The sequence below is a fragment of the Homo sapiens genome, chromosome Y (genome assembly GCF_000001405.40).
Source record: "Homo sapiens chromosome Y, GRCh38.p14 Primary Assembly".
Lineage (NCBI taxonomy): Eukaryota > Metazoa > Chordata > Mammalia > Primates > Hominidae > Homo > Homo sapiens.
In genome coordinates, this window is record NC_000024.10 from 2214996 (window position 1) to 2240461 (window position 25466).

A 25466-nucleotide genomic window follows, 5' to 3' on the forward strand; every position below is an offset into this window, starting at 1 on the left:
TGAGGTGTAGATAACAGAAGCTATCCACCTCCGAGGCTTTCCGGGTCTCTAGAAATGGAAAGAATATTTTCCGCACTCACATGGCATCTGGTCCCTGTGGCCAATAGTAGATTGAATACTGTCTCCCAAAAAGATATGACTAAGGCCTAATCCCTGGTATCCGTGAATGGGACCTTATTCACAGAAAGGGTCTTGCCAGGTGTCATTGAGTAAAGGATCTTGAAATGAGATCATCTGGATTATCCAGGTGGGCCATAAATCCAATATCAAGTGTCCTTATTAGAAACAGGAAGAGACACAGATACAGGGAGAAGGCCACGTGGAGATGGAGGCAGAGAGTGCAGTGATGCGGCCACAAGCCTAGGGATGCCTGCAGCCCCCAGGAGCTGGGAGAGGCAGAAAAGATCCTCTCCTAGAGCCTCTGGAGGGAACTGCACCCAATTGTAGTGGACTGAACTGTGGTCTCCCAAAAAGATCTATCTATACCCTAATACCCAGAGCCTGGGAATGAGAAGTTATTTGGAAATAAGGATCTTTGAAGATGCAGTGAATTAAAGATCTTGAGATGAGATCATCCTGGAGTAGGGTAGGCCCTAAATCCAATGACAGGTGTCCTTCTAAGAGACAGAAGACACACAGACACAGAGGAGAAGGCCACGTGGAGACAGAGGCAGAGACTGCAGTGATGCGGCCACAAGCTCAGGGACACCTGGAGACCCCAGGAGCTGGGAGAGGCAGGAAGGATCCTCTCCTAGAGCCTCTGGATGGAACTGGACACAATTGTAGTGGACTGAACTGTGGTCTCCCACAAAGATCTGTCTATATCCTAATATCCAGAGCCTGGGAATGAGACTTCATTTGGGAATAAGGATCTTTGAAGGTGCAATGAGTTAAAGATCTTGAGACGAGATCATCCTGGAGTAGGGTGGGCCCTAAATCCAATGAGAGATGTCTTTTTTTTCTTTTGAGACGGAGTCTCACTCTTTCGCCCAGGCCGGACTGCAGTGGTGCTATCTCGGCTCACTGCAAGCTCTGCCTCCCAGGTTCACGCCATTCTCCTGTCTCAGCTTCCTGGGTAGCTGGGACTACAGGTGCCTGCAACCGTGCCTGGCTAATTTTTTGTATTTTTAGTAGAAATGGGGTTTCACCATGTTAGCCAGGATGGTCTCGATCTCCCGACCTCGTGATCCACCCGCCTCGGCCTCCCAAAGTGCTGGGATTACAGGTGTGAGCCACCGTGCCCGGCTGAGAGGTGTCCTTCTAAGAGACAGAAGACACACAGACACAGAGGAGAAGACCATGTGGAGACAGAGGCAGAGACTGGAGTGATGTGGCCACAAGCCCAAGGAATGTCTGGAGCCCCCAGGAGATGGGAGGGGCAGGAATGTTCTTCTCTTAGAGCCTCTGGAGGGAACTGGACACAATTGTAGTGGACTGAACTGTGGTCTCCCAAAAAGATCTGTCTATACCCTAATACCCAGAGCCTGGGAATGAGAACTTATTTGGAAATAAGGATCTTTGAAGATGCAGTGAATTAAAGATCTTGAGATGAGATCATCCTGGAGTAGGGTAGGCCCTAAATCCAATGACAGGTGTCCTTCTAAGAGACAGAAGAAGACACACAGACACAGAGGAGAAGGCCACGTGGAGACAGAGGCAGAGACTACAGTGATGCGGGCACAAGCTCAGGGACACCTGGAGACCCCAGGAGCTGGGAGAGGCAGGAAGCATCCTCTCCTAGAGCCTCTGGATGGAACTGGACACAATTGTAGTGGACTGAACTGTGGTCTCCCACAAAGATCTGTCTATATCCTAATATCCAGAGCCTGGGAATGAGACTTCATTTGGAAATAAGGATTTTTTTTTGAGACAGAGTTTCACTCTTGTTGCCCAGGCTGGGTTGCGATGGCGAGATCTCGGCTCACCGCAACCTCCACCTCCTGGGTTCAAGCAATTCTCCTGTCTCAGTCTCCCGAGTAGCTGTGATTACAGGCATGTGACACCATGTCTGGCTAATTTTGTATTTTTACAAAATTACAGAATTTTGTAATGATGGGGTTAAAAATTTTTGTAATGATGGGGTAGAGATGGGGTTTCTCCATGTTGGTCAGGCTGGTGTCGAACTCCTGACCTCAGGTGATTTGCCCACCTCACCCTCCCAAAGTGCTGAGATTACAGGTGTGAGCCACTGTGCCTGGCTGGAAATAAGGATCTTTGAAGATGCAATGAGTTAAGATCTTGAGATGAGATCATTCTGGAGTAGGGTGGGCCCTAAATCCAATGACAGGCTTCCTTCTAAGAGACAGAAGAAGACACACACACACAGAGGAGAAGGCCACGTGGAGACAGAGGCAGAGACTGCAGTGATGCGGCCACAAGCCCAGGGATGCCTGGAGCCCCCAGGAGCTGGGAGAGGCAGGAAGGATCCTCTCCTCGAGCCTCTGGATGGAACTGGACGCAACTGTAGTGGACTGAACTGTGGTCTCCCAAAAAGATCTGCCTATATCATAATACCCAGAGCCTGGGAATAAGACTTTATTTGGAAATAAGGATTTTTTTTTTTTTTTTGAGACGGAGTTTCACTCGTTTCCCAGGCTGGATTGCAATGGCGTGATCTCGGCTCACCGCAACCTCCACCTCCTGGGTTCAAGCAATTCTCCTGTCTCAGCCTCCCAAGTAGCTGGGATTACACGCATGTGACACTGGAGTCATGCAACCACAAGTCAAAGGGATGCCTGGAGCCCCTAGGAACTAAGAGAGGCAGGAATTGATCCTTCCTTAGAACCTCCGGATGGAGCAGAGCCCTGAGACATCTTGATCTCAATCTTCTGGTCTCCAGAGCTGGGAGAGGAGAAATAATTCCTTTTGTCATGAGGTCCCTAGTTGTGGTTACTTGTTACAGCAGGCCTGGAAAACTGATCAATGTCATAACCTGCAATGGGCTGTCTGAACACACAGCCATCTCATGGGACCATCTACATCATCTTCACACAGAGACCTAAGCCCCATGGGAAGCTTGGCAGATGTGATGTTGGGGCCTCTACAGATCCAGATGTGGGGGTTTAGTCAGGCTGGTGGGGAAAATTTTAGTTATAGTAGACACAAACCCTCTGGGAAGGCCTGAGCGTTTGTATAACTTCAGTAATAAACCTGGCTGAAGGCAGCCTAGTCCCCTTACCTTTAGTTAAATAAATTAGAGTAGAAGCAAAGGAATGTGGGGAATGTCTCTAACTAACTTGTTTACTCATGTGGTCCTAAGACTAACCTTTTATGTATCGCAGGTGCTTCATTGCTTTCTACTTAGGGAAGTCCGCAATGTCAATTTCCCTCTAGTGGTGTTGACTCACAACCTTTGTCAATTAATCTTTACTGAATAAATGCAAGTCTTGCTGACTGATCGAGGCCACGGCTGCTACTAAGTGGCTTGGATGCTCAGCCAAACTGGCAAAGCAGAATAGCTGTGTGTCAATGTACTTCATTCACCCATCACTTGGTCAGGGTCTGTGGGACAGACCCCTGCACCATAAATCTTGTTGCAAGTTTTCACCGTTGGGCTTCACGTCTCCCTGCAGCACCATGAATCCAGCTACACTAGGGAGGTGAATATCATGCATGTTTCCTGCAAGTTTCATTGTTCCTTGTAACCTCTGGCAACCTCTCCTTCCCGGAGGCTGTTTCCTGGCCTGTTAGTCTGGTTGTATCATTCATGGTTTTCCTATGAAGGGTCTCAGGATATAAGCAGACATTCTGCACAGAGACTGCATCTTTCTGCAGAAGGGGCTTGAGCTCATTCTTTCTGCACTGAGAGTCCTGGGTATTGAGGTCTGAGCTCTGCCCGAAACAGAAGCATACCGATTGTTAGGGTCACCCCAACCAGACCGTTCCCTTCCCCTTCCACAGGCCTTACAATACAGTCCCTTGCACTCTCCACACAGCTCCCCCAGGGCTAAAGACAAACGCCCCCCGCCTTCACTGACCCCTCCAGTAACTGTTTGTCCAGACAGTTACAGGATGTGGTTAGCATGTCTGTGAACCTTGCATAACAAAGCTGGTGAAAAACATCTCCAGGATGCGGTCAAGACACTTGCACCCCCTACTCAGCTCCCCCACCCCAACCCAATCCTCCTGCACCCTCGACTCAGCTCCCCCACCCCGACCTGGTTCTGGCCCTATAAAACCCTGCTATAGTCTGTAAGTGGGGCTGCCTCCACTAACTGTGGTGGAGCAGCCAAGCAGCTCAGTAAAGTTTGCTTGCCTGACTTTAGGTCTCCTCATCCTCTCTCTCGGCTGACCTTACACCGATGATGTAGTAAGCATCTAACGTGAATATCCCAGGGAACAAATCCACATTTCTTATCCTTTTGTACCAAGGAAGGTCCCCTGTCTAGTGGGTCCATGACATAAAATTCCTGGTTTTCTGTAAAGGAACAACAGAAATCCAGGCATCCTGGTTATCTACCAAGGAAAATCACCATCTGTGGTGACAAACCCATTCCCGGAGGATGAATGATTTTTTTTTTAAAGAGGCCAAACAATACATTTATTATTTTCATTTAAGTTGCTTATCAGGGCAACCTTCCCCATCTGGGAACAATCTAGCAGTCATGTAAGAAGCACATGCCCCCACAATTAGTTTGAACTCCATCCTGGAATTGCAGCTGGTTGTGATTCTAAGGTACAGGCATGCCAGGAGCCTGGATTTGAATAGTCAGTGGGATTTTGTCACTTAGTGGAATGGATAATAAGCCAACCAATGGTCATCAGTCTCACACATAAGGAGTGCAGGCTCGTAGGGTATACACAGTACTTTCTCAAAAGCATTGCAAATGACTGATTTCTCTATGTTGAAATTTGAAAACCCAACATCTATCTCTCTAACACCAAAGGATTGAGCCTTCCTTGCCTGGCTGGTGAGTAAGAGTGAGCCTCTATACCAAGGATGTACCCTTTGGCTGTGTGAGGTTTTCAGAAGTATCAGAAGCTGTATACATTTCCTGTGGTTGCTGTAACAAGTGACTACCAATTTGTTGGAGCCTTAAAACAAGAAAGATTTATTCTCTCTCCGTTCTGGGGACCAGAAGTCTAAAGTCAAGACGTCAGAGGGGCCAAGATTGCTCTGAGGGGTATAAGGGAGAATCCTTCCTGCCTGTCCCAGCTCCTGGTGGCTCCAGGCATTGCTTGGCTTGTGGTGGCATCACTCCAGTCTCTGTCTGCATCATCACACGAATATCTTGTCTTCTGTACTCAAATCTCCCTCTACCTGTCTCTGATAAGAACCCTCGTGATGGCATTAGGTTCACTGGGATGATCCATAATGACCCATCTCAAAATTCTTAATTCTATCTGCAAAGATTCTTTTCCAAATAAAGTAATATTTATAGGTTCTGAGGGTTAGGGCATGAACATATCTTTTGAGGGCTACCATTTGATCCATAGCTGTTCAGCGGTTTACATTCTCGGATTTGACAGTGGCATGCTTCACTTGTGACTGTGCCATTCTGGAATGAGGTTGACCAGATGGTGCTGCTGGCCACGTCAAACTCATCCTACAGGCTGTAGCAAGCAAGGCTCACACCTCCCCATGTCTGACACCTGTGAATCACAGCTGGGTCTCTGGAAAAATGAGTGAGTGCAGGAACAAAATCAAACAGGAGACCTCATCCACCACTAGGTCTCAGAGAGGACATTGCAGCCCCTGAAAAGAGAGCATCTCTCTTGGAACTTTTGTACTCAGTTGTATTAACGCGGCAAGGAAAATGGCACATTTATGTTGGAAAATGTAATTATTTATGGCACCTGTGACAACTGGGCACTTTGGAATCACAAAGTTTATGGTTGAAGACCACTTGGGGTGATTATCCTCCAAAATGTTTATTTGGCTTCTTGAAGTTCTGCAGAGGTTGAGGCAGCTGTCTCAAAACTAGAGGACAGAGCCCTGTGGGCAGGTGGGTGTGAGAAACTCAAACACCGCAGTCTTCACAGACCCACAAGCTATTGGCAGGTGCAATGTGTTTCTTGGGGCAGCAGCTATCCTGAGACAGGATATCACAGGGTCACATCAAGGACCCCAGTCATCTCACAACTCTTAGACCACAGCTGCTGCTGCAGTTTCTGGTTGTAGGTGACGTGGAGGGACTTGGTCTCTTTCTCGTTGTATAGGTAATGGCCACCAACTCCTTCCAGCTCTGGGGTGACTGCTGCGTAGATGGAAGTCCACGCTCCTTCATCGGGGGTCTGGTGGAAGAAGAAAAGAAGGCTACGATGAGTCAAATTTCTGAGCAGGAAACAGGAGTCTCAGGACTCACATGGATGCTGCAGGGACAGGTGGAATATACTCATCAGCTGCACTGAGAAATGTATGCAAAAAGCGAGGTTGGGTGATCAATCTGAACCACAGCTTTTCTGCTGTTGGGTTTCTTTACAACAGGCACTGACAATAACGTACCCAAGTGGGTTGCATTTCAGTGGTGGGTTAATCCATCTCACTAGGCAGATGCATATTAAAATCCCTGATGTACGTATTTAATCACGCACTCTTTATGGGACCGAAATGCTTATTAATTGACTAGAAGCAGATGAGTGAGTGCTTGGCTTCTGTATTTAATAAACAATATTTAGCAATTAGATGAAACATCAGGACATCAAAAAGATTCTTGTTTTCAATTCAGCAAGGCATGCTACATCGGAGAATTGAGGCATTTATGAGCTGTGATCGTATGTTTCATGGAAACAGACGTTTCAAAAAGGAACTTGAGATGCAGAAAAAGGTTTTTCAAAGACTGGGGATTTTACCCTAGTGGAAGGCGATAATCTTGAAACACAGCACACCCTGGTTTTCTGCAGTGGGAGTTGGCCCTTGGTCATGGTCAGTGGGATGGAAGAAATGTAGGATTCTCAGAGGAATTAGAAGTTGTGGGACCTGAGAACCTTCAGAGCTAGGATGCAATAATCCAGGAACCAACACAGTGCATCTTAACTTCTGTCACAATGAAGATGTTTCAGAAGTTGTCTCTTGTAATAAGCTTCTGGGAATCTGGTGAACGTATCCACCATGTGGGGACACAGTAATGAGGCACCGTCTGTGAACCAGAAAGCAGGTCCCTTCCAGACACAGAATCTGCCATGCATTGATCTTGAACTTCCAGCCTCCAGAACTGTGAGCAACAAATGTTTACCGGTTGCCCAGCCTATGTTGTTTTGTGATAGCAACACAAACAGACTAAGACATTTGATGTCCAGAGTTTTTACTGGGGTCTCATTGCATAGGTATGATTAAGTCATTGGCCACATAATCAGATTCAACCTCCAGTTCCTCTTTCCTCCCCAGAGGTCAGGCTGGCCTGAAATTCCAACCTCCTAATGACATGGTTGGTGTTTCTGGTGGCCAGCCCCATCTTGAAGCCATTTAGGAAACAGCAAATATCACCTCATTATACAACCAGGGAATTGCTAGCATTTGTGAAATTGCGAGAGTTTTAGAAGCTCCTCCTTGTTACAGAACCAGGAATAAAGACCAGATATTGCCTTTGTTATGTCCCCTCTAGTCTTCTGGGAGTGATGATCCATTTGCCCGAACTGATTTCACCTCTCACCAGTGCCCCTAGCACTGCAGTGGCTCAGGCCTGTAATCCCAGTGCTTTGGGAGAACAAGGCAGGAGGACTGCTTGAGTCCAGGAGTTCAAGATGAGTGTGGGCCACATGGCAAAACCTAGCACTGGTGAGAGTTCAGGCACACACCCTCCAAAAAGGAAAAGGGTGGACTCTGTGGGGTGGCCTGTGACACCCAGTCACTTCAGAAATTCTGCTGCTGTCAGTTCACTGCCTCCTGGTCTTGACTTCAGCAGCCAGTGTGACGTGGAAAGGCATGGTAGACAATCCAGTGTGCCCACCAGCCCATCCTCTGGGTGCCGAGCAAGGGGAACAGGAAGGCTGGACCCCAGTAGAGGAACAGAGCTGCCAGACTCCTGAGATTGTTTCCCACTGACTTGCCTCTGCTCTTCTGCTGCCTAAAAAGAAATGGATGGAGCTAGAGAACTTCCCAAGTCTGGAAATCACCTAGGGGTGCCCAGAGATCTTGCAAACCCAAAGTGTCCTGGGAGATTTGGAGGCTGATACGGTTTGGCTGTGTCCCCACCCAAATTTCATCTTGAACTGTAGCTCCCATAATTCCCATGTGTCAAGGGAGGGAGCCAGTGGGAGGTAATTGAATCATGGGAGATCTTTCTCGTGCTGTTCTCATGATAATGAATAAGTCCCATGACATCTGATGGTTTTATAAAAGGCCGCTCCCCTGCACACACTCTCTTGCCTGCTGCCATGTAAGACATGCCTTTGCTCCTCCTTCACCTTCCGCCATGATTGTCAGGCCTCCCCAGCCACATGGAACTGAGTCCATTAAGCCTCTTTCCTCTATAAATCACCCAGTCTTGGGCATGTCTTTATTAGCAGCATGAGAACAGACTAATAGAGAGACTGTATCTGAAAACATCTCGGGGGCGGATGCAGGCGCCATGGCTTGGCTCTTGCAGGGGAGCCCTGTGTCCCGTGTCTTGCCCTGGGCATCTAAAGACCAAAAGTAAAGGCGAAAGGGATGGAAAGAGGAAGGGAGGAAGGACAGAACAGAGCAGGAGGAAAGGGAGAGGGAAGGCAGGGGCCAAGTGAAGGCACCCATGGTGTTTGAGGGTCTTTCTCTGGGGCAGCCTTCAACGCAGAAAGAGGTTTTATTGATCTGTTTCATGCTTCTCTCTTTTGCGGCTGTGTTCTGCCCAATTTCCAGGCAGGATCTGCTCCCAAAGCCGGCATTCTTCTTCCTTCTCCATCATCTTGTAGCTGGAAAATACGGAGTCTTTCTGGGGCCCAGCCCACTTCCATATAAAAGGCAGGGACACCAAGCACTGCAGCTGTGAATCCAACATGGTGCCCCTTCCCACACTGCTGCTCTGGACAAAGTGATCAGAGAGGCCAGATGGGGGCCACCCTGGGTCCCCAGGAGAGACCATGGTTCCTGCTGCGCAGAAATGAGCATTTACACCTCACGCTGGTGCCTGAGATGTTCACCCACACTGTGTTATATTTAGTGCTGTGCCTTCTTTGCAAACAAATCCTTAAATCAGCTCCTGGAACAAGTTTTGTGTTGTTGTCTGCCATCATTGACACTGAGGATTCAGGGGCTCATGCCCCAAATACCCGACCTGTGTCTTGACCATGTAGTATGATGCCTCCACCCGGAGAGGCCCCTGTGTTCTGCAGCTGCAGCTTAGGCCGCTCCTGGGTTCTCCTGCATCGTCCCTATTGTTGAACAAACTCAGCACTCTCTGGAAGGAGGCTTCCTCTTTGTGGTTCCCCTGTGGGCAGTGTCTGGGGGCTTCTGTTTCTACCATATTTTGAAAAATCCTCTTATCTGAGTAAGAGTTCTTGGGCTATGCATATTCAATTGCGACACAAGTACTACCGTTTTAGGGGGCAAGATACCACCTGTGCTATGTTGAAAATGAGCTTGTGATTTCTAGAAGACAGCAAGCGCATTGTGCTGAAAATGTAGGTATTTCTGGGGACACAGAGATGACGACGTGATGAAGTTCTATTGGATGATTTTTTTTCTGTAAGAAAAACACACGCACACACATATTCATGTGCGCATGGTCACTTACATGCTGACATGCACACATACATTCGTATGTACTCACATGCACACAAATATATATACACATATGGACACACACATACTCATGCATACGCACACACACATGCACACTTACTTGCACATGCATACTCACACTCATTCACATGCACACATGCTCATTTACATGTACACAAACTCACATGAACACATGCTCACATATACTCATTCACATGCACACAAATTCGCATGCACACAGCTCACACGCACACATGCTCACACTCGCACACACACACGTACACACACATTCACATGCACTCATTCACATGTACACAGCTCACACACATGCTCACATTCACATGCACACTAATTCACATGCACACACACATGCTCACACTCATTCACATGCACACAGCTCACATTCACACATGCATTCACATTTACATATTCACATGCACTCACATGCTCACTCATTCACATGCACACAGCTCACACACATGCACACACTCATTCACATGCACTCATTCACATGTACACACATTCACATGCACTCACACACGCACACAGCTCACACATGCACACATTTGCATGCACATTCACATGTACACACATTCACATGCAGTCACACATGCTCACACTCATTCACATGCACACAGCTCACACACATGCACTTTCACATGTACACACATTCACATGCACACATACACATGCACGCACCCTCATTCACAAGTACGCACATACACATGCACACATGCTCACACTCATTCACATGCACACATGCTCATCCACGTGTACATTCACATACTCATTCACATGCATACTTATACACATGCAAACATGCTTATATATTCATTTGCATGCACACACTCATACACATGCACAGATTATTTATCCTAATATTGCAAAATATGAAACCAAGGAGAGAGGCCTCAGGAGGAACCAGCCCTGCCCACACCTTGATCTTAGACCTCCAGCCTCCAGGACTGTGGGAGAATCAATGTATGTCGTTTCTAAGCCACCCAGTCTATGGTATTCTGTGACAGCAGCCAGAACTGGACTAAGACATGTCATAAGAAAAGGAGATGAGGACACAGACACACACAGAGGGACAACCCTGTGAGGACACAGGGAAAAGACGGCGTCTCCAAGCCCAGGAGAGAGACCTCAGGAGGAACCAGCCCTGCCCACACCTTGATGTCAGACTTCCAGCCTCCAGGACTGTGGGAGAGTCAACGTCTGTTGTTTATAAGCCACCCAGTCTATGGTATTCTGTGATAGCAGCCTGAAATGGACTGAGACAGCTCATAAGAAGAGGAGATGAGGAGAAAACAGACATGCACAGAGGGACGACCCTGTGAGGACACAGTGAGAAGACAGCATCTACAACCCAAGGAGAGAGGCCTCGGGAGGAGCCCGCCCAGCCCACACCTTCATCTTGGACTTCCAGCCTCCAGGACGGTGGGAAAATCAGTGTCTGTTGTCTAAGCTGCCCAGTCTATGGGACGTCAGGCTGGCAACCCCGGCAGATGGAGACCAAGCCCAGGTGACTTCTCTCCTGACTGGGATTGGCGCAGGCTGCTGTGTGCATATGTCAAGAAAGCCTCTTTTCCAGGAAACAGGCAATTATACCCACACTTACCTGCTACCTCAAGAGTCAGGGAGGGGAGAGACTTCAGGAGCATGAGCAATTACTCGAGTTCCCCTCCCAAGTCATTTCAATCTCCTGTTGGTTACCTGGCTCATTCAGTCTGCCCCACAGCTCTATTGCAAACAGAGCCCTCTGTGTTCATGGGACTGTTCAAGAACACCAAGGGTTCCTGCCAGCATTTGTCTCTCTAATGCCACGTTCTGCAAAGCAGACCTTGGACTGGCCCAGCCCTTTGTGATCTTTTTCCCCAAAGAAAACACAGGCGCGGTAGCTCACGCCTGTCACCCCAGCACTTTGGGAGGCCGAGGCAGGCGGATCGCGAGGTCAGGAGATCAAGACCATCCTGGCTAACACAGTGAAACCCCGTCTCTACTAAAAAACACAAAAAATTAGCCGGGCATGGTGGCGAGCGCCTGTAGTCCCAGCTACTCGGGAGGCAGGAGAATGGCGTGAACCCGGGAGGCGGGGCTTGCAGTGAGCCGAGATGGCGCCACTGCACTCCAGCCTGGGCGACAGAGCGAGATGCCATCTCAAAAAAAAAAGAAAGAAAAAAAAGAAAACACCCAGACCATGGGCACGGTTTCTCGTGTTAGGGCAGCACAGAGAATGTGACAGGTAGGGAAAACAGCAAAGCAACTCATCGTTCTCAGAGTCGCTTTTGTTAGAGGGGAAGCTCTGGGACCTGTCTCAGAGCTGCTGCAGAATAAGAAGGGTTCGAGTCAGCCTTCCTCCTGCTGACAATGAATACCTCAGTTTTCCCTCCGGAGGCAGCCCCTTTTCCTCCTAACTCCATGAAATGTCTTTCCGGAAGGTGCAGCTGGAGCACCCTGCACCTGCACCCCAGCCAGCCCTGCACCCACATCTGTACATGCCAGGCAGTGCTGAGAACCGGGCAGGAAGGGAGGGGACAGACGTGTCTGCACAGAATCCTGCACCTGCTGGGAACAACTCAGTGTCATCAGCTATGGCCTGGGTCAAAGCACCTTTGTTTTGGGTATTCAAAGGTCAGTGAAGGGTTGAGTGAAAGGGAAGGAGAAAGACAGAGAAACAAAAAAAATCAATGGAAGGAAGAAAGAGAAGGAGAAAGAAAAAGAGGAAGAAGAAAGGAGGAAATAGAGAAAGGAATTAAGGAAGGAAAGAAGGAAGCATAATGGGAGGGAAGGAAGGAGTGACACAGAGAGAGAGGGAGGGAGGCAGTAAGAAAGGAAGGAAGCAGAGAACAAGACAGAAAAGAGGGAAGGAAGGAGAGAGAAAGGAAGCAGAGAAGAAAGGAGGGAGGAAGAAAAAAGGGAGAAAGGAGGGAAGAAGGGAGGAAGGGAAGGATGAAAAAAGAAAAAAAAACAGGAAGGAAGCAAAGAAGGAAGGGAGGCAGGAAGCAAAGAAGGAAAGGAGGAAGGAAGGAAAAGAGACAGAAAGAAAAAAAAAGAAGAGAAACAAAGAACCAAAGAGAAGGAAGGATGGGAGGGAGGGAGGGAGGGAAGGATGGGAAGGAGGAAGGAAGGGAGGGAGGGAGGGGGGAAGGGAGGGGGGAAGGGAGGGAGGGAAGGGAGGGAGGGAGGGAGGGAGAGAGGGAGGGAGAGAGGGAGGGAGAGAGGGAGGGAGGGAGGGAGGGAGAGAGGGAGGGAGGGAGGGAGGGAGGGAGGGAGGGAAGGGAGGGAGGGAGGAAGGGAGGGAGGGAGGAAGGGAGGGAGGGAGGGAAGGGAGGGAGGGAGGGAGGGAAGGGAGGGAGGGAGGGAGGGAAGGGAGGGAGGGAGGGAGGGAGGGAGGGAGGAAGGGGGGAAGGGAGGGAGGGAGGGAGGGAGGAAGGGAGAGGGGAAGGGAGGGAGGGAAGGAGGGAGGAAGGGAGGGAGGGAGGGAAGGGAGGGAGGGAGGGAGGGAAGGGAGGGAGGGAGGGAGGGAGGGGGGAAGGGAGGGAGGGAGGGGGGAAGGGGGGAAGGGAGGGAGGGAGGGAGGGAGAGAGGGAGGGAGAGAGGGAGGGAGAGAGGGAGGGAGGAAGGGAGGGAGGGAGGGAGGGAAGGGAGGGAGGGAGGGAGGAAGGGAGGGAGGGAGGAAGGGAGGGAGGGAGGGAGGGAGGAAGGGAGGGAGGGAGGGAGGAAGGAAGGGAGGGAGGGAGGGAGGAATGAAGGGAGGGAGGGAGGAAGGGAGGGAGGGAGGGAGGGAGGAAGGAAGGGAGGGAGGGAGGGAGGGAAGGGAGGGAGGGAGGGAGGGAGGGAGGAAGGAAGGAAGGAAGGGAGGAAGGAAGGAAAAAAGGGAGGCAAAAGGAAGGACTGGAGGAAAAAAGAGAAGATAAGAGGAAGGAAGGGAGGGAGGAATTTATTCCTCAGAGCCTTTGCTGCATTTACCAATTCTGGTTCTGCCCCTATTTGACCAAATATCTGTGGTGACTCTGAGAATTCTGATTTCTAAGATAAGGCAGATATTGTGAATTTGAAATAGCAAATCCCTTTTGTGTCATTCAAACCACGATTTCCTTTTTGTTAGAGCTCCTGTTCTCCAGATAGCACCCAGGGCACACAGAGATATTTGCCTGTGACTCTTCAAAGAGCTTCAGAAAGCTGTTCCCTCTGAACTCCACACTTAACTTGTATTAGACATGCTGGGCTTTGCAGAAGAGACACACACAGGGCTTCCCTTTGTCCTTGGGACGGATCCCCTGTGCTGTCTGCAAGGAAACTACCTAACGCTCCACTGCCAGGAGCAGAGGGCAGCAGGAATGGCATCACCCGGGATGTCTCCTAGGGAGGAGGCTAGCAGGGCTTGGGCGGCAAACGCTCAGCTCTCTGCAAGGCACGCAGAGGCTCGTTCGCCTTCTGGAAATGTTGCTATTTGAATGCAGACGCTGTTAGTAGATCCTTGAGTTGTGCTGAGAGAGATCTGAGGGCACATGTATTTATTTTAGCACCGTCCACATCTTAGGGCAGAAACTCACACTCAGGGAAGTGGCTGGCAAGTAAAGAGACTCCTAGCTGAGCTTCCCAAGGAGAGTTTCCACGCCCCAAAGTTGTGGAAGAGGGGACGGAGTAATGCTGTGGTCAAAGAGAAATTCAGAGACTTCTGCCCAGGCTCAGCTGCCTTCCTGGAAGAATGTTCTGAACATTCTACAAAGGCAACACTTCCTCTCCATACCTCTGCTCCAGCCACCCAGGGATCCTGCTGCTTCTGCCACGATGTCCCCTGCCTCTTGCCTCTCTGTACCTGCTGCTTGCTCCTTCTGGAATGTTCTGGAAAATAGGTTTCGGGGCTGGATGTTTTCTGGGATGCTGACTCACACGCAAATCATAGGGTGACATAATGTGTGCATGTGTGTGTGTGCACAGATATGCATAGGTACGCATTTATGTGGATGTGTGTGTACTTGTGGGTAGATGTGTATTGTATGATTGTATGTGCATGTCTGTATGTATATGTATATGTATGTGCACGTGCATGAATGCACACGTTAATGGGTACGTGTGTGTATTCATGCATGTGTTTGGATAAATATATGTGCATGCATGTGTGTGGGGGCGCAGATGTGCGGGTATGGGCCTGCGTGTGTTTGCACATGTGTATATGTATGCATGCATGTGAATGTGTACTTGAGGGATGTGTATTGTATGAGTGTATGTGCATGTCTGTATGTATATGGATATGTGTGAGTACATGTACGTACATGCATGTGCATGAATGCACATGTGAATATGTGCATGTGTCGATAGGAATATACATTTGCATAAATGTGTGCATGTGTGTTTGCTCATGCATATGTGCACACATGCATGTGGGCACAGATGTGTGGATATACGCATGTCTGTGTGCATGGGTTTGCACGTGTATATGTGCATGTGTGTCTATGCATGTGAAGGTGTGTGTGCATTTATGCACGTGAGCATGTGTGCACATACTATGCATGTGTGGGAGGGGTGCAGGTGCGCGCATGTGTTTGCATCTATATGTGTGTATTTGTACATGTGTGCATGTATGTGTGCATGAGTGTGCACATGTGTACGTGCACACACGTGCTCTCAACTCCCCAATGAGAGCTGTGGGTTGTGCTAAACTTCTAGGGATGTTTCATGGCCTCAGTGACCACCTGAAGCAGAGAGGATTAAGAAAACCTTCCTTTAACTACAATCTCGTAAGACACACACACAAACCTGCTCTTACCAGGAATAAACACTCACCTGACAGACAACAGAGAGGAGATGGCTTGTGCTGTTTAATGTCAGGTAACACAGGTCTTAAGTGGGCTCTGTGATGATTGAGTTCACGTATCAATTGGCTGGGCTATGGTGCCCAGACATTTGGTCAAGCACCAGACTGGGTAGTTTGTGGATATCATTAACATTTACAAATCAGTTGCATTTAAGCGAAGGAGAGGACGCTTCACAATGTGGGTGGGCCTCACCTCATCAGGAGAAGGCCTTCACAGCAAACACTGACACTTACTAGAAAAGGAATTCCACTCCAGACTGTGACAGGGCAATCCTGCCTGAGTGTCCAGCCTGCCCTGCAGATTTTAGGCTCAAGGCTGCAATGTCAAATCTTGGCCAGGTCTCCAGCCTGCCAGCCAGCCTACCAATTTTGGACTTGCCCGCCCCTACAATCCCAAGAGTCAATTAAACTAAATCTTTCTCTATGCATAGATCCTATTGGTCCTGTTTTTCTTGAGAACTGCGACTAATACAAAATTGAACGGTCTCAATGGCAGAGAGTCTGGGCATTCTGAAACCAGGAAGAAATGCCGGGCTCCAGGAATGATCTTGGCTCATCTCTTAGCTTGAGTCACTGGAAGGTCTCGCACAGAGACCTTCAATCAAAAGCACAGAGACTGCTGGCTGGCTTTTAAGGCTAAACCAAAGGAGGGCATTTATCCACTCAAGGGAAGAAGTTTCCCATCCAAAGAGGACACTTCTTTTTAGGGTGGCAGCCTCAGAGCCTATGATGTCTTTGTTCCTGGGGAGTCTGTTAGAGCCACCAGAGAGTCCATCACAGACATACCCTGTGGAAAGGAGAGATGGCATCTCCTTGGACAAAACGGCCCTTCCCAGTTCTGTAACTTCTGTGGCATTTCCAATGTGTACCTCAAACTGATCTGGGTGGCATCACCTCTGAGCCTGAGAGAACCTCCCTCTTTCCCTCCCTCTCTCTCACACCCTTCTCCTTCCTCCTTTGCTTCCTCTTCCTTTTTCTCTTTTTCTCTCTCTATTCCTCTTTCTCTTCCTCCCCCATCTTATCCTCCTCCTCTTTCATTTCTTCCTTCTCCTTCTCTTTCCCCCTTATCCTCCTCCTATTCTTCTATCCCTTCCTCTTCCTTTTTCTCTCTTCTTCCTCCTCCATCGTATCCTCCTTTTTCTTTTTTCCCTTATTCTCCTTTCCCATCTCTTTCTCCCTTTCTCTTCTCTCTCTGCCTTTTCTTCTTTTTTTCTTTCTCCTCTTTTCTCTTCTTGCCTTTTCACTCTCTATTCCTCTTTTTTTCTCCTCCATCTTCTCTTCTTCCTCCTCCACCTCGTCCTCTTCCTCCTTTCTGCCTTATCCTCCTCCTGTTTTTCTCTCTATCCCTCTCTCTCCCTTCCTCTTCCTTTCTTTCTCCTCTTTCTCATTTTCTCCCTCTTCTTCCTCCTCCATCTTCTCCAACTTCTTCCTCCTCCTCCTCTTTCTCTTATCTTCTTCTTTTCCTCTATCTTTCTCTTCCTCTTCTCTCCTCCTTCTCTTTTCTTTCTGCCCTTCTTTCCTTTTCTCTATTCCTCCCTTTTTCCTCCTCCTTCATCTTCTCCTCCTTCTTCCTTCTCCTCCTTTTTCTCTTTCTATCCCTCTGTCTTCCTCCTTTTATTTTTTCTCCTTTTCCTCATCTTCCTTTTTCTCTCTCTCCCTTCCCTTCCTCCTCTTCCCCTTCCTCTTTCTCCTCCTCTCTCTCTGCCCCCTCTATTATCAATTTACAGTATAATCCAGCTTTTCCTAAAAAAAAACTAGACAACCTTCACACTACACCCTTCTGTTTCTAAAAGTCTTCCTCTGAATCGAAATCACTCTTGTTCACTTGTGTGAGGCTGGGGGATTCCTGAATGAACTTGTATCCACTTGTTTTGAAAACAACAACAACTAAAGCAACAGAACTTCCTTTAGGATTCATATAGAGCATTCATATGGAATTACCGAGAACTATCTTCTTTTGTCCACAGCCCCAAAGCTGGGGCTCAATCCCCTGCAGTCCTGGGGTCTGGGGTCCTCACGCTTAGCACTCAAGAGAATGGGCCAGAGAGCTTGTAAAAACAACTGCACCCCTGGTATTTCTAACTCAGTGGATCTTAGGAGGCCCAAGAATCAGCATTTTTTTTTATTTTTTATTATTTATTTATTTATTTGAGATGCCAGGGCTGGAGTGCAGTGGCATGATCTTGGCTCACTGCAACCTCCGCCTCCCAAGTTCAAGCAATTCTCCTGCCTCAGCCTCCCGAGTAGCTGGGATTACAGGTGCCTGCCACTACATCCAGCTAATTTTTTGTATTTTTAGTAGAGACAGGATTTCACCATGTTGGCCAGGCTGGTCTCGAACTCCTGACCTCATGATTCGCCCATGTCAGCCTCCAAAAGTGCTGAGATTACAGGCATGAGCCATCGTGCCCGACCCAAGAATCTGCATTTCTAACGAGCTCCCAGAGGCTGCTGGTCTCAGAGACCACGCTGGGAACCTCACTCATTCTAGCTTCTTATGCAGCTCTGCAAACTATACACCATGGGCAAAATTCAGCCTGTACCTGTTTCTGTACAGGCTACTAGCTAAGAATGGTTTTATACTCTTAAAGTGTTGTTAAGAAAAAGAAAGAAAGAAAGAAAGAAAGAAATATGCCAAAGAGACTAGAGGTGGCCCACGAAGACTAAGACACTTCCTATCTGGCCGACCTCCTGTGTAGAGCAAGGAACTGTGGCTTCGCGGCAGAATTTCATTATCTGCCGCTGTGCAGCTGTGGCTGACAGACGCTGTCTTCCACACATTCTCGGAATGATGAAGTGGGCTTGCTTGGTGACGCCTTGTGCAGGGAAATGAAAGTTGTCTTCTGAATACACAAGACGGTCCTGTAAATCATGCTCCCTGTGGCTTAAATAACACATCCTGTTTTATCTACAGCTTTTTTTTTTTTTTAAATGACAATCTTTAGAGACTGGCAAGAGGACAGAAGATGTATAAATGTGAACCCAAATCCAAGAACGCAGTGTGTTCCCTTTTAACAGACACAAGAGCATCTTTGAAGTTCCAGACGCCCGGCTGGGGGGCGCTGGGGAGACGGTGCAGCACCATTTATGGTAAAATCTGCATCAAGCCACTCTTGAGTCCTGGAGAGTGTTGGAGCTGCAAGCTACAGAAACCATTTCAACTTCATTCAGTCCAATGAATGTTTATTAAATGCTCACCCGTATTTTGCCAGCTCTTGGGGCAAAGGAAGAGAATTTCAGAAATAACCCCTGCTGCCCAGGAGCTTCCAATAGACATGGGCAGTGGGTGGATGGTGAGGCACAAGTGCAGGAAAAAAAAAAGATGAAACACACACAAAATAGAAGATAGAGTTTCAAGTGTACTAAATAGAGCCACAAGCAATATAGTCAGAGAGAGGAATGAATGGCTCATAATTACATAATTACACAGAGCTTTACAGTGGAGAAAATGGTTTCCCATATATTCTGTCGGCAATGTTCACAACACTCTTATGTGATATTATTATCCAGAATTAACAAATTAGAAAAATGAGAGGCATAGCAGGGAAGGAGAGGAGAAGGGAGCTGTTGCAGGAAATAGCCACTGCCTGATTCTTCCAGGGACCCCTCCCTCGTCATCTCCCTTCTTTCTCTGCTTTGCTATCATGAGCCCTGATCCATGCACACAGCTGGATCCATGCACATGCATTCAATATCTCCCTCCCTGCCTTCACCCATGCACACAGCCCTGATCCATGCACACAGCTGGCTCCATACACATGCATTCTGCAGCTGCCTCCCTGCCTGCATCCATGCACACAGCCCTGATCCACGCACACAGCTGGCTCCATGCATGTGCATTCAATATCTCCCTCCCTGCCTTCACCCATGCACACAGCCCTGATCCATGCACATGCATTCAATATTTCCCTCCCTGCCTTCATCCATGCACACAGCCCTGATCCATGCACACAGCCCAGATCCATGCACACAGCTAGACCCACACACACACATTCAGTACCTCCTTCCCTGCCTTCCAGGCACAGAGCCCTGATCCACGCACACAGCTGTTTTAGGTTTTTTGCAGTAGTATTCAGAACAGCAAAGATATGCAATCAACCTAAGTGTCTGTCAGCAGAGGACTGGCTAATATAAAGAAAGTACAGTATAGTATATACACACCATGGAATATTATGCAGTCATATCAAAGAATGAAATCATGTCTTTTGCAGTGACATGGACAAACACTGCACGTTTCCACTTTTTATTTTATTATTTTACTTTTTATTTTTTGAGACGGAGTCTCACTCTGTTGCCCAGGCTGGAGTGCAGTGGCACGATCCCGGCTTACTGCAGTCTCTACCTCCCATGTTCAAGCGATTCTCCTGCCTCAGCTTCCCGAGTAGCTGGGACTACAGGCGTGTGCCACCATGCTGAGCTAATTTTTGTATTTTTAGTAGAGACGGGGTTTCACCATATTGGTCAGGCTGGTCTTGAACTCATGACCTCAGGTGATCCACCCGCCTCAGCCTCCCAAAGTGCTGGGATTACAGGCATGATCCACCATGCCCAGCCTGTTTCCACTTTCTAAGGTCCCTAGAGTCATCAGATTCATCAAGACAGAAGGCAGAATGGTGTTGCTAGGAGCTAGGAACAGCAGGGAAATTGGAAGTTGTATTTTAATGGAAACAGAGCTTCAGTTTGAAAAGCAGGCCGTTCTCCTAACAAACAACTCAGATACTGAAAGTCAAACACTGATCCTGCCATGTTCTCACTTGCAAGTGGGAGTTCACCAGTGGGTCTACACAGACACAGAGGGTGGATTGACGATGAGGACCCTGAAAGGTGGGAGGTTGGCAGGAGGTGGAGGATGAAAAAAATCACCTACAGGTATAGTATTCACAGCTGGGGTGAGGGGTTCACTAGAAGCCGGGACTTCACCGCTGTGCAATGTCTCCATGCAAGAAATCCGCACCTGTACTCCTTAAATTTATAATAAATAAGTGAATCAATAAATACATAAGCCGGGCTGGGTACGGTGGCTCACACCTGTCATCCCAGCACTCTGGGAGGCCGAGGCCGGCGGATCACAAGGTCAAGAGATCAAGACCATCCCGGCCAACATGGTGAAACCCCACCTCTATTAAAAATATAAAAATTAGCTGGGTGTGGTGAGACATGCCTATAATCCCAGCTACTCGGGAGGCTGAGGCAGGAGAATGGCTTGAACCCGGGAGGCAGGTGTTGCAGTGAGCCAAAATCATGCCACTACACTCCAGCCTGGGCAACAGAGCATCTCAGGGGAAAAAAAAAAAAAAAAGGGAACAAAAAAAGAAATCCGCACCTGTACTCTTTAAATTTATAATAAATAAGCAAATCAATAAATACATAAGCCAGGACGGGTGCGGTGGCTCACACCTGTCATCCCAGCACTTTGGGAGACCGAGGCGGGCGGATCACGAGGTCAAGAGATCAAGACCATCCCGGCCAACATGGTGAAACCCCATCTCTATTAAAAATATAAAAATTAGCTGGGTGTGGTGGGACATGCCTATAATCCCAGCTACTCGGGAGGCTGAGGCAGGAGAATCGCTTGAACCTGGGACGCAGGGGTTGCAGTGAGCTGAGATCGCGCCATTGTACTCCAGCCTGGGTGACAGGGTGAGACTCCGTCTCAAAGAAAAAAAATAAATAAATAAAATAAATAAATCCGCACCTGTACTCCTTAAATTTATAATAAATAAGTGAATCGATAAATACATAAGCCAATTGGTGAGATGACCCATAAAGACAAACAAAGCTTTGTGAGGGGAAAGCAAGCGCCCAGGAGAAGCCCTGTCTTCGGAGGTTTTGGCGCAGGCCTGAATGAAGGGAAGGAGAGGGATTGGATACCTGGGGGAAGGGCGTGCGTGGAGGAGGAAACAGCCAGGGCTGAGGCCTGCACATTGCAGGGAAAGGGTGAAGTCCCTGGTGGCTCTACCTGGAGCAATTTCTTCTTATTTTTTCTTTTTTTGAGATGGAGTTTCACTCTTGTCACCCAGGCTGGAGTGCAGTGGCGCGATCTCGGCTCACTGCAACCTCCTGCTCCCGGGTTCAAGCGATTCTCCTGCCTCAGCCTCCCGAGTAGCTGGGATTACAGGCGTCCGCCACCATGCCTGGCTAATTTCTGTATTTTTAGTAGAGACGGGGTTTCACCACGTTGGCCAGGCTGGTCTCGAACTCCTGGCCTCATGTGATCCACCCGCCTCAGCCTCCCAAAGTGCTGGGATGACAGGTGTGAGCCACTGCGCCCGGCCACCTGGAGCATTTTCAGTGGAGCATGGGGGACTGGAAGTGAATTGTATGAGCAATTCCTGTATGGGGATTTGCTGCAGCGGAGACTGTAGTCAGGGACAGTCCCCAGGGGAAATAGAAGGTCCAGAGAGGGTGGTTAGATTTGTTTATTAATAAAAAAAAAAAAAGAAATGGGGGGGCTGGGTAGGGTGTCTCATGCCTGTAATCCCAGCACTTCGGCAGGCCGAGGCAGGCGGCTCACTCGAGACTGTGAGTTCGAGATCAGCCTGAGTAACATATCGAAACCCCGTCTCTACTGAAAATGTAAAAATTAGCCAGGCGTGCTGGGAGGTAGCTGAGGTCCCAGCTACCCAGGAGGATGAGGCCGAATTGCTTGAACCCAGGAGGCGGAGGTTGCAGTGAGCCGAGATCGCACCACTGCACTCCAGCCTGGGCAACAGAGAGAGGTTCCATCTTAAAAAAAATAAAAATAAAAAAATTCCCAGTACCTGCATCCTTGATTTGATTAATTAACCTGTCACCCTCTCGGCACATCAATCCAAGTTCCAATCAACCCTAAGACAGACTTTCATTAGACTGCATGGCGGATACAAATACATGCTTAAGACAAGCAATGATACGAGTGGTCTACTTCATGGTGAAGTGGGCGCAGTCTACACTGCAAATTTGTTCATTTTGATGGCAGGCCTGATCACATGATTTCAAAGTGGTCAGGACTTGCTGGACATGAGCCCTGAATGGTGGAGCTGATACACTCAGCATTTACAATAGCTTTCTATTTTTTTTTTTTTTTGAGATGGAGTTTCGCTCTTGTCGTCCAGGCTGGAGTGCAGTGGCATGATCTGGGCTCACCACAATTTCCGCCCCCGGGTTCAAGCGATTCTCCTGCCTCAGCCTCCTGAGTAGCTGGGATTACAGGTGACTGCCACCACGCCTGGCTAATTTCTGTATTTTTAGTAGAGACTGGGTTTCTCCATGTTGGTTAGGCTGGTCTTGAACTCCTAACCTCACATGATCCTCCCCCTCAGCCTCCCAAAGTGTTGGGATTACAGGCATGAGCCACCACTCCCAGCCGATAGCTCTTTTTTGTAACACCCATTGATCTTGAGACAACTGGGGTGGGAAGAGAGGTAATAGCCACGTTCATTTGCTCCCTAGGAGGGGTATACATTGTAGGGGGTACTGAGTTTCACTGATGAAGCTGCGAGGAGCTTCCTAGAGGTCTGAAGAGCACACATGCCCTCTGAAATACTAAGCTACTCTCCTACGGAGGCTGAGACCATCTGCATGTCTCAGCATGAAGAATGGCCTGATGCATTTGTATACAGGACAAATCAAACCTCTCATCTTTATAAATGCACAAATCATAATCCCAACACTTTGGGAGGCCACAGCAGGAGGATCGCTTGGGGCTAGGAACTGGAGACCCGGCTGGACAACATAGCAAGACCTCGGCTCTACCAAAAAATTTTAAAAAATTAGCCAGGCATGCTGGTGCATTCGTGTAGTCCCAGCTACTCGGGAGGTGGAGGTGGGGTGATCGTTTCAGTCCAGCAGGTCGAGGCTGCTGTGAGCTGTGATTGTACCACTGCACTCCAGCCTGGGTGACAGGGCGAGACCCCATCTCAAAAACAAACCAATCAACCTCCTAGTTTTTCTTCTGGTACCGACTGGTCGCCCAGGTTACTGGCCGTGAATTTGGAATCGAGTCCATGTGTTCTGATGAGACAGAGGATAGAGGTTTCAGAGTGACATACAACCATGCCCTCAGATGATATGAAACATCACAGAGATATGTATGTCACACAGATTCTCCCCAGGGACCCTGGACAGATCCTGCAAGGTTTTTCTTCTTTCTTTTTTTTTTTTTTGAGACGGAGTTTCACTCTTTTCACCCAGGCTGGAGTGCAATGGCGCCATCTCGGCTTACTGCAACCTCCGCCTCCCAGGTTCAAGCGATTCCCCTGCCTCAGCCTCCCGAGTAGCTGGAATGACACACACGCGCCACCACACTCGGCTAATTTTTTTTTTTTTTAATAGAGATGGTGTTTCACCATGTTTGACAGTCTGGTCTCGAACTCCTGACCTCAAGTAATCCACTCACCTTGGCCTCCCAAAGTGCTGGGATTACAGGCATGAGACACGGCACCCAGCTGATCTTCCAAGTCTTAATATACAATGCATGCATGCATGCATGCATACACACTAGTAAATAATACATACACAGCAATACAGAATTATCATTACAAAGACAGCATCAAGCTACTGCAGCTGTATAGCCTTTTCTTTAAAATTCTTACATTATTTTAATTTCATTTCCAGGCTAATGCATATTCTTCTGCTCTATAATTTTAAAGTTTCCACAATGTTGTCTCTTATATAAAGGCAGTATCACTCGAGCAATGCCCCGTGGTTATTTTTAATCCAAATTTGCAGATGATGATCAAAGGATTAAAGAATGATTCATGTGGCTAAAGTTGCAGTTTGCTTGTTAAATATTTAGAAAGAAATAATGTCAAGGCCAGCCATGGTGGCTCATGCCTGTCATCCCAGCACTTTGGGAGGCAGAGGTGGGAGAATCACTTGAGGCCAGGATTTCAAGGTTGCAGCCAGTGATTGTGTCATAATTCCAGCGCACAAGACCAACCTGGGCGAACAGCAAGATGCCGTTTCTACAAAAAAAAAAAAAAATGCACAGCAGCCAGGGTGACAGAGCAAGACCTGGTCTCTAAAAAATTTAAAAGAGGCCGGGCGTGGTGGCTCACGCCTGTAATCCCAACACTTTGAGAGGCCGAGGCAGGTGGATCACGAGGTCAGGAGATCAAGACCATCCTGGCCAACATGGTGAAACCCCGTCTCTACTAAAAAAAAATAAAAAATAAAAAAAAAATTAGCCAGACGTGGTGGCGGGCACCTGTGGTCCCATTTACTCGGGAGGCTGAGGCAGGAGAACGGCATGAACCTGGGAGGCGGAGCTTGCAGTGAGCTGAGATCGCGCCAACGCACTCCAGCCTGGGCAACAGAGCAAGACTCAGTCTCAAAAAAAATAAATAAATTAAATAAAATAAAAAAACAGCAAATGCTCTCCTTGGATACTGAAGTCACTCTCTGAGGGATTCATGGGGGTTTTATAAGGATGAAATGTATCCTAGTGTTGGTGTATTGCTAGCGAATACTTAGTGCTTAATAAAATAACTAATATTTTGAAATTCCTTTGCTTGAGGAATTAGAGATGTGAAGAACAACAGATCAGAAAGCAAACTGCAAAATAAGGGATGTACAGCTGGGCGCGGTGGCTCACGCCTGTAATCCCATCACTTAGGAAGGCCGAGGTGGGCGGATCACCCGAAGTCAGGAGTTCGAGACCAGCCTGGGCAACATAATGAAACCCCGTCCCTACTAAAAACACAACACTTAGCCAGGCTTGATGGCAGGTGCCTGCAGTCCCAGCTACTCAGGAGGCTGAGGCAGGAGAATCACTTGAACCCAGGAGGCGGAGGTTGCAGTGAGCTGAGATCGCGCCAGTGCACTGCAGCCTGGTGACAGAGCGAGACTCTATCTCAAAAAAAAAAAGAAAAAGAAAAAGAAAAAAAGAAATTCCTTTGCTTGAGGAATGAGAGATTCGAAGAACAACTGATAAGAAAGCAAACTGCAAAATAAGGGAAGTAATTAATCCCCTCAAAAAGTCCACATTGGGGGCGGGCAGCTCATATCATGAGAGACTTTCAGACG

At 48.3% G+C, this 25466-nt stretch overlaps 1 protein-coding gene across 1 annotated transcript in view; it reads right to left on the reverse strand.

Moving 5' to 3' along the window:
- Positions 1-4510: 4510 nt before the first annotated feature.
- DHRSX (dehydrogenase/reductase X-linked) overlaps positions 4511-25466 on the reverse strand; it is a 281471-nt gene continuing 260515 nt past the window's right edge. The window contains exon 7 of the mRNA NM_145177.3: positions 4511-6234. Within this exon, the coding sequence (NP_660160.2) occupies positions 6046-6234 (189 nt within the window). The 3' untranslated portion in view covers positions 4511-6045. The remainder of the gene's footprint in view (positions 6235-25466) is intronic.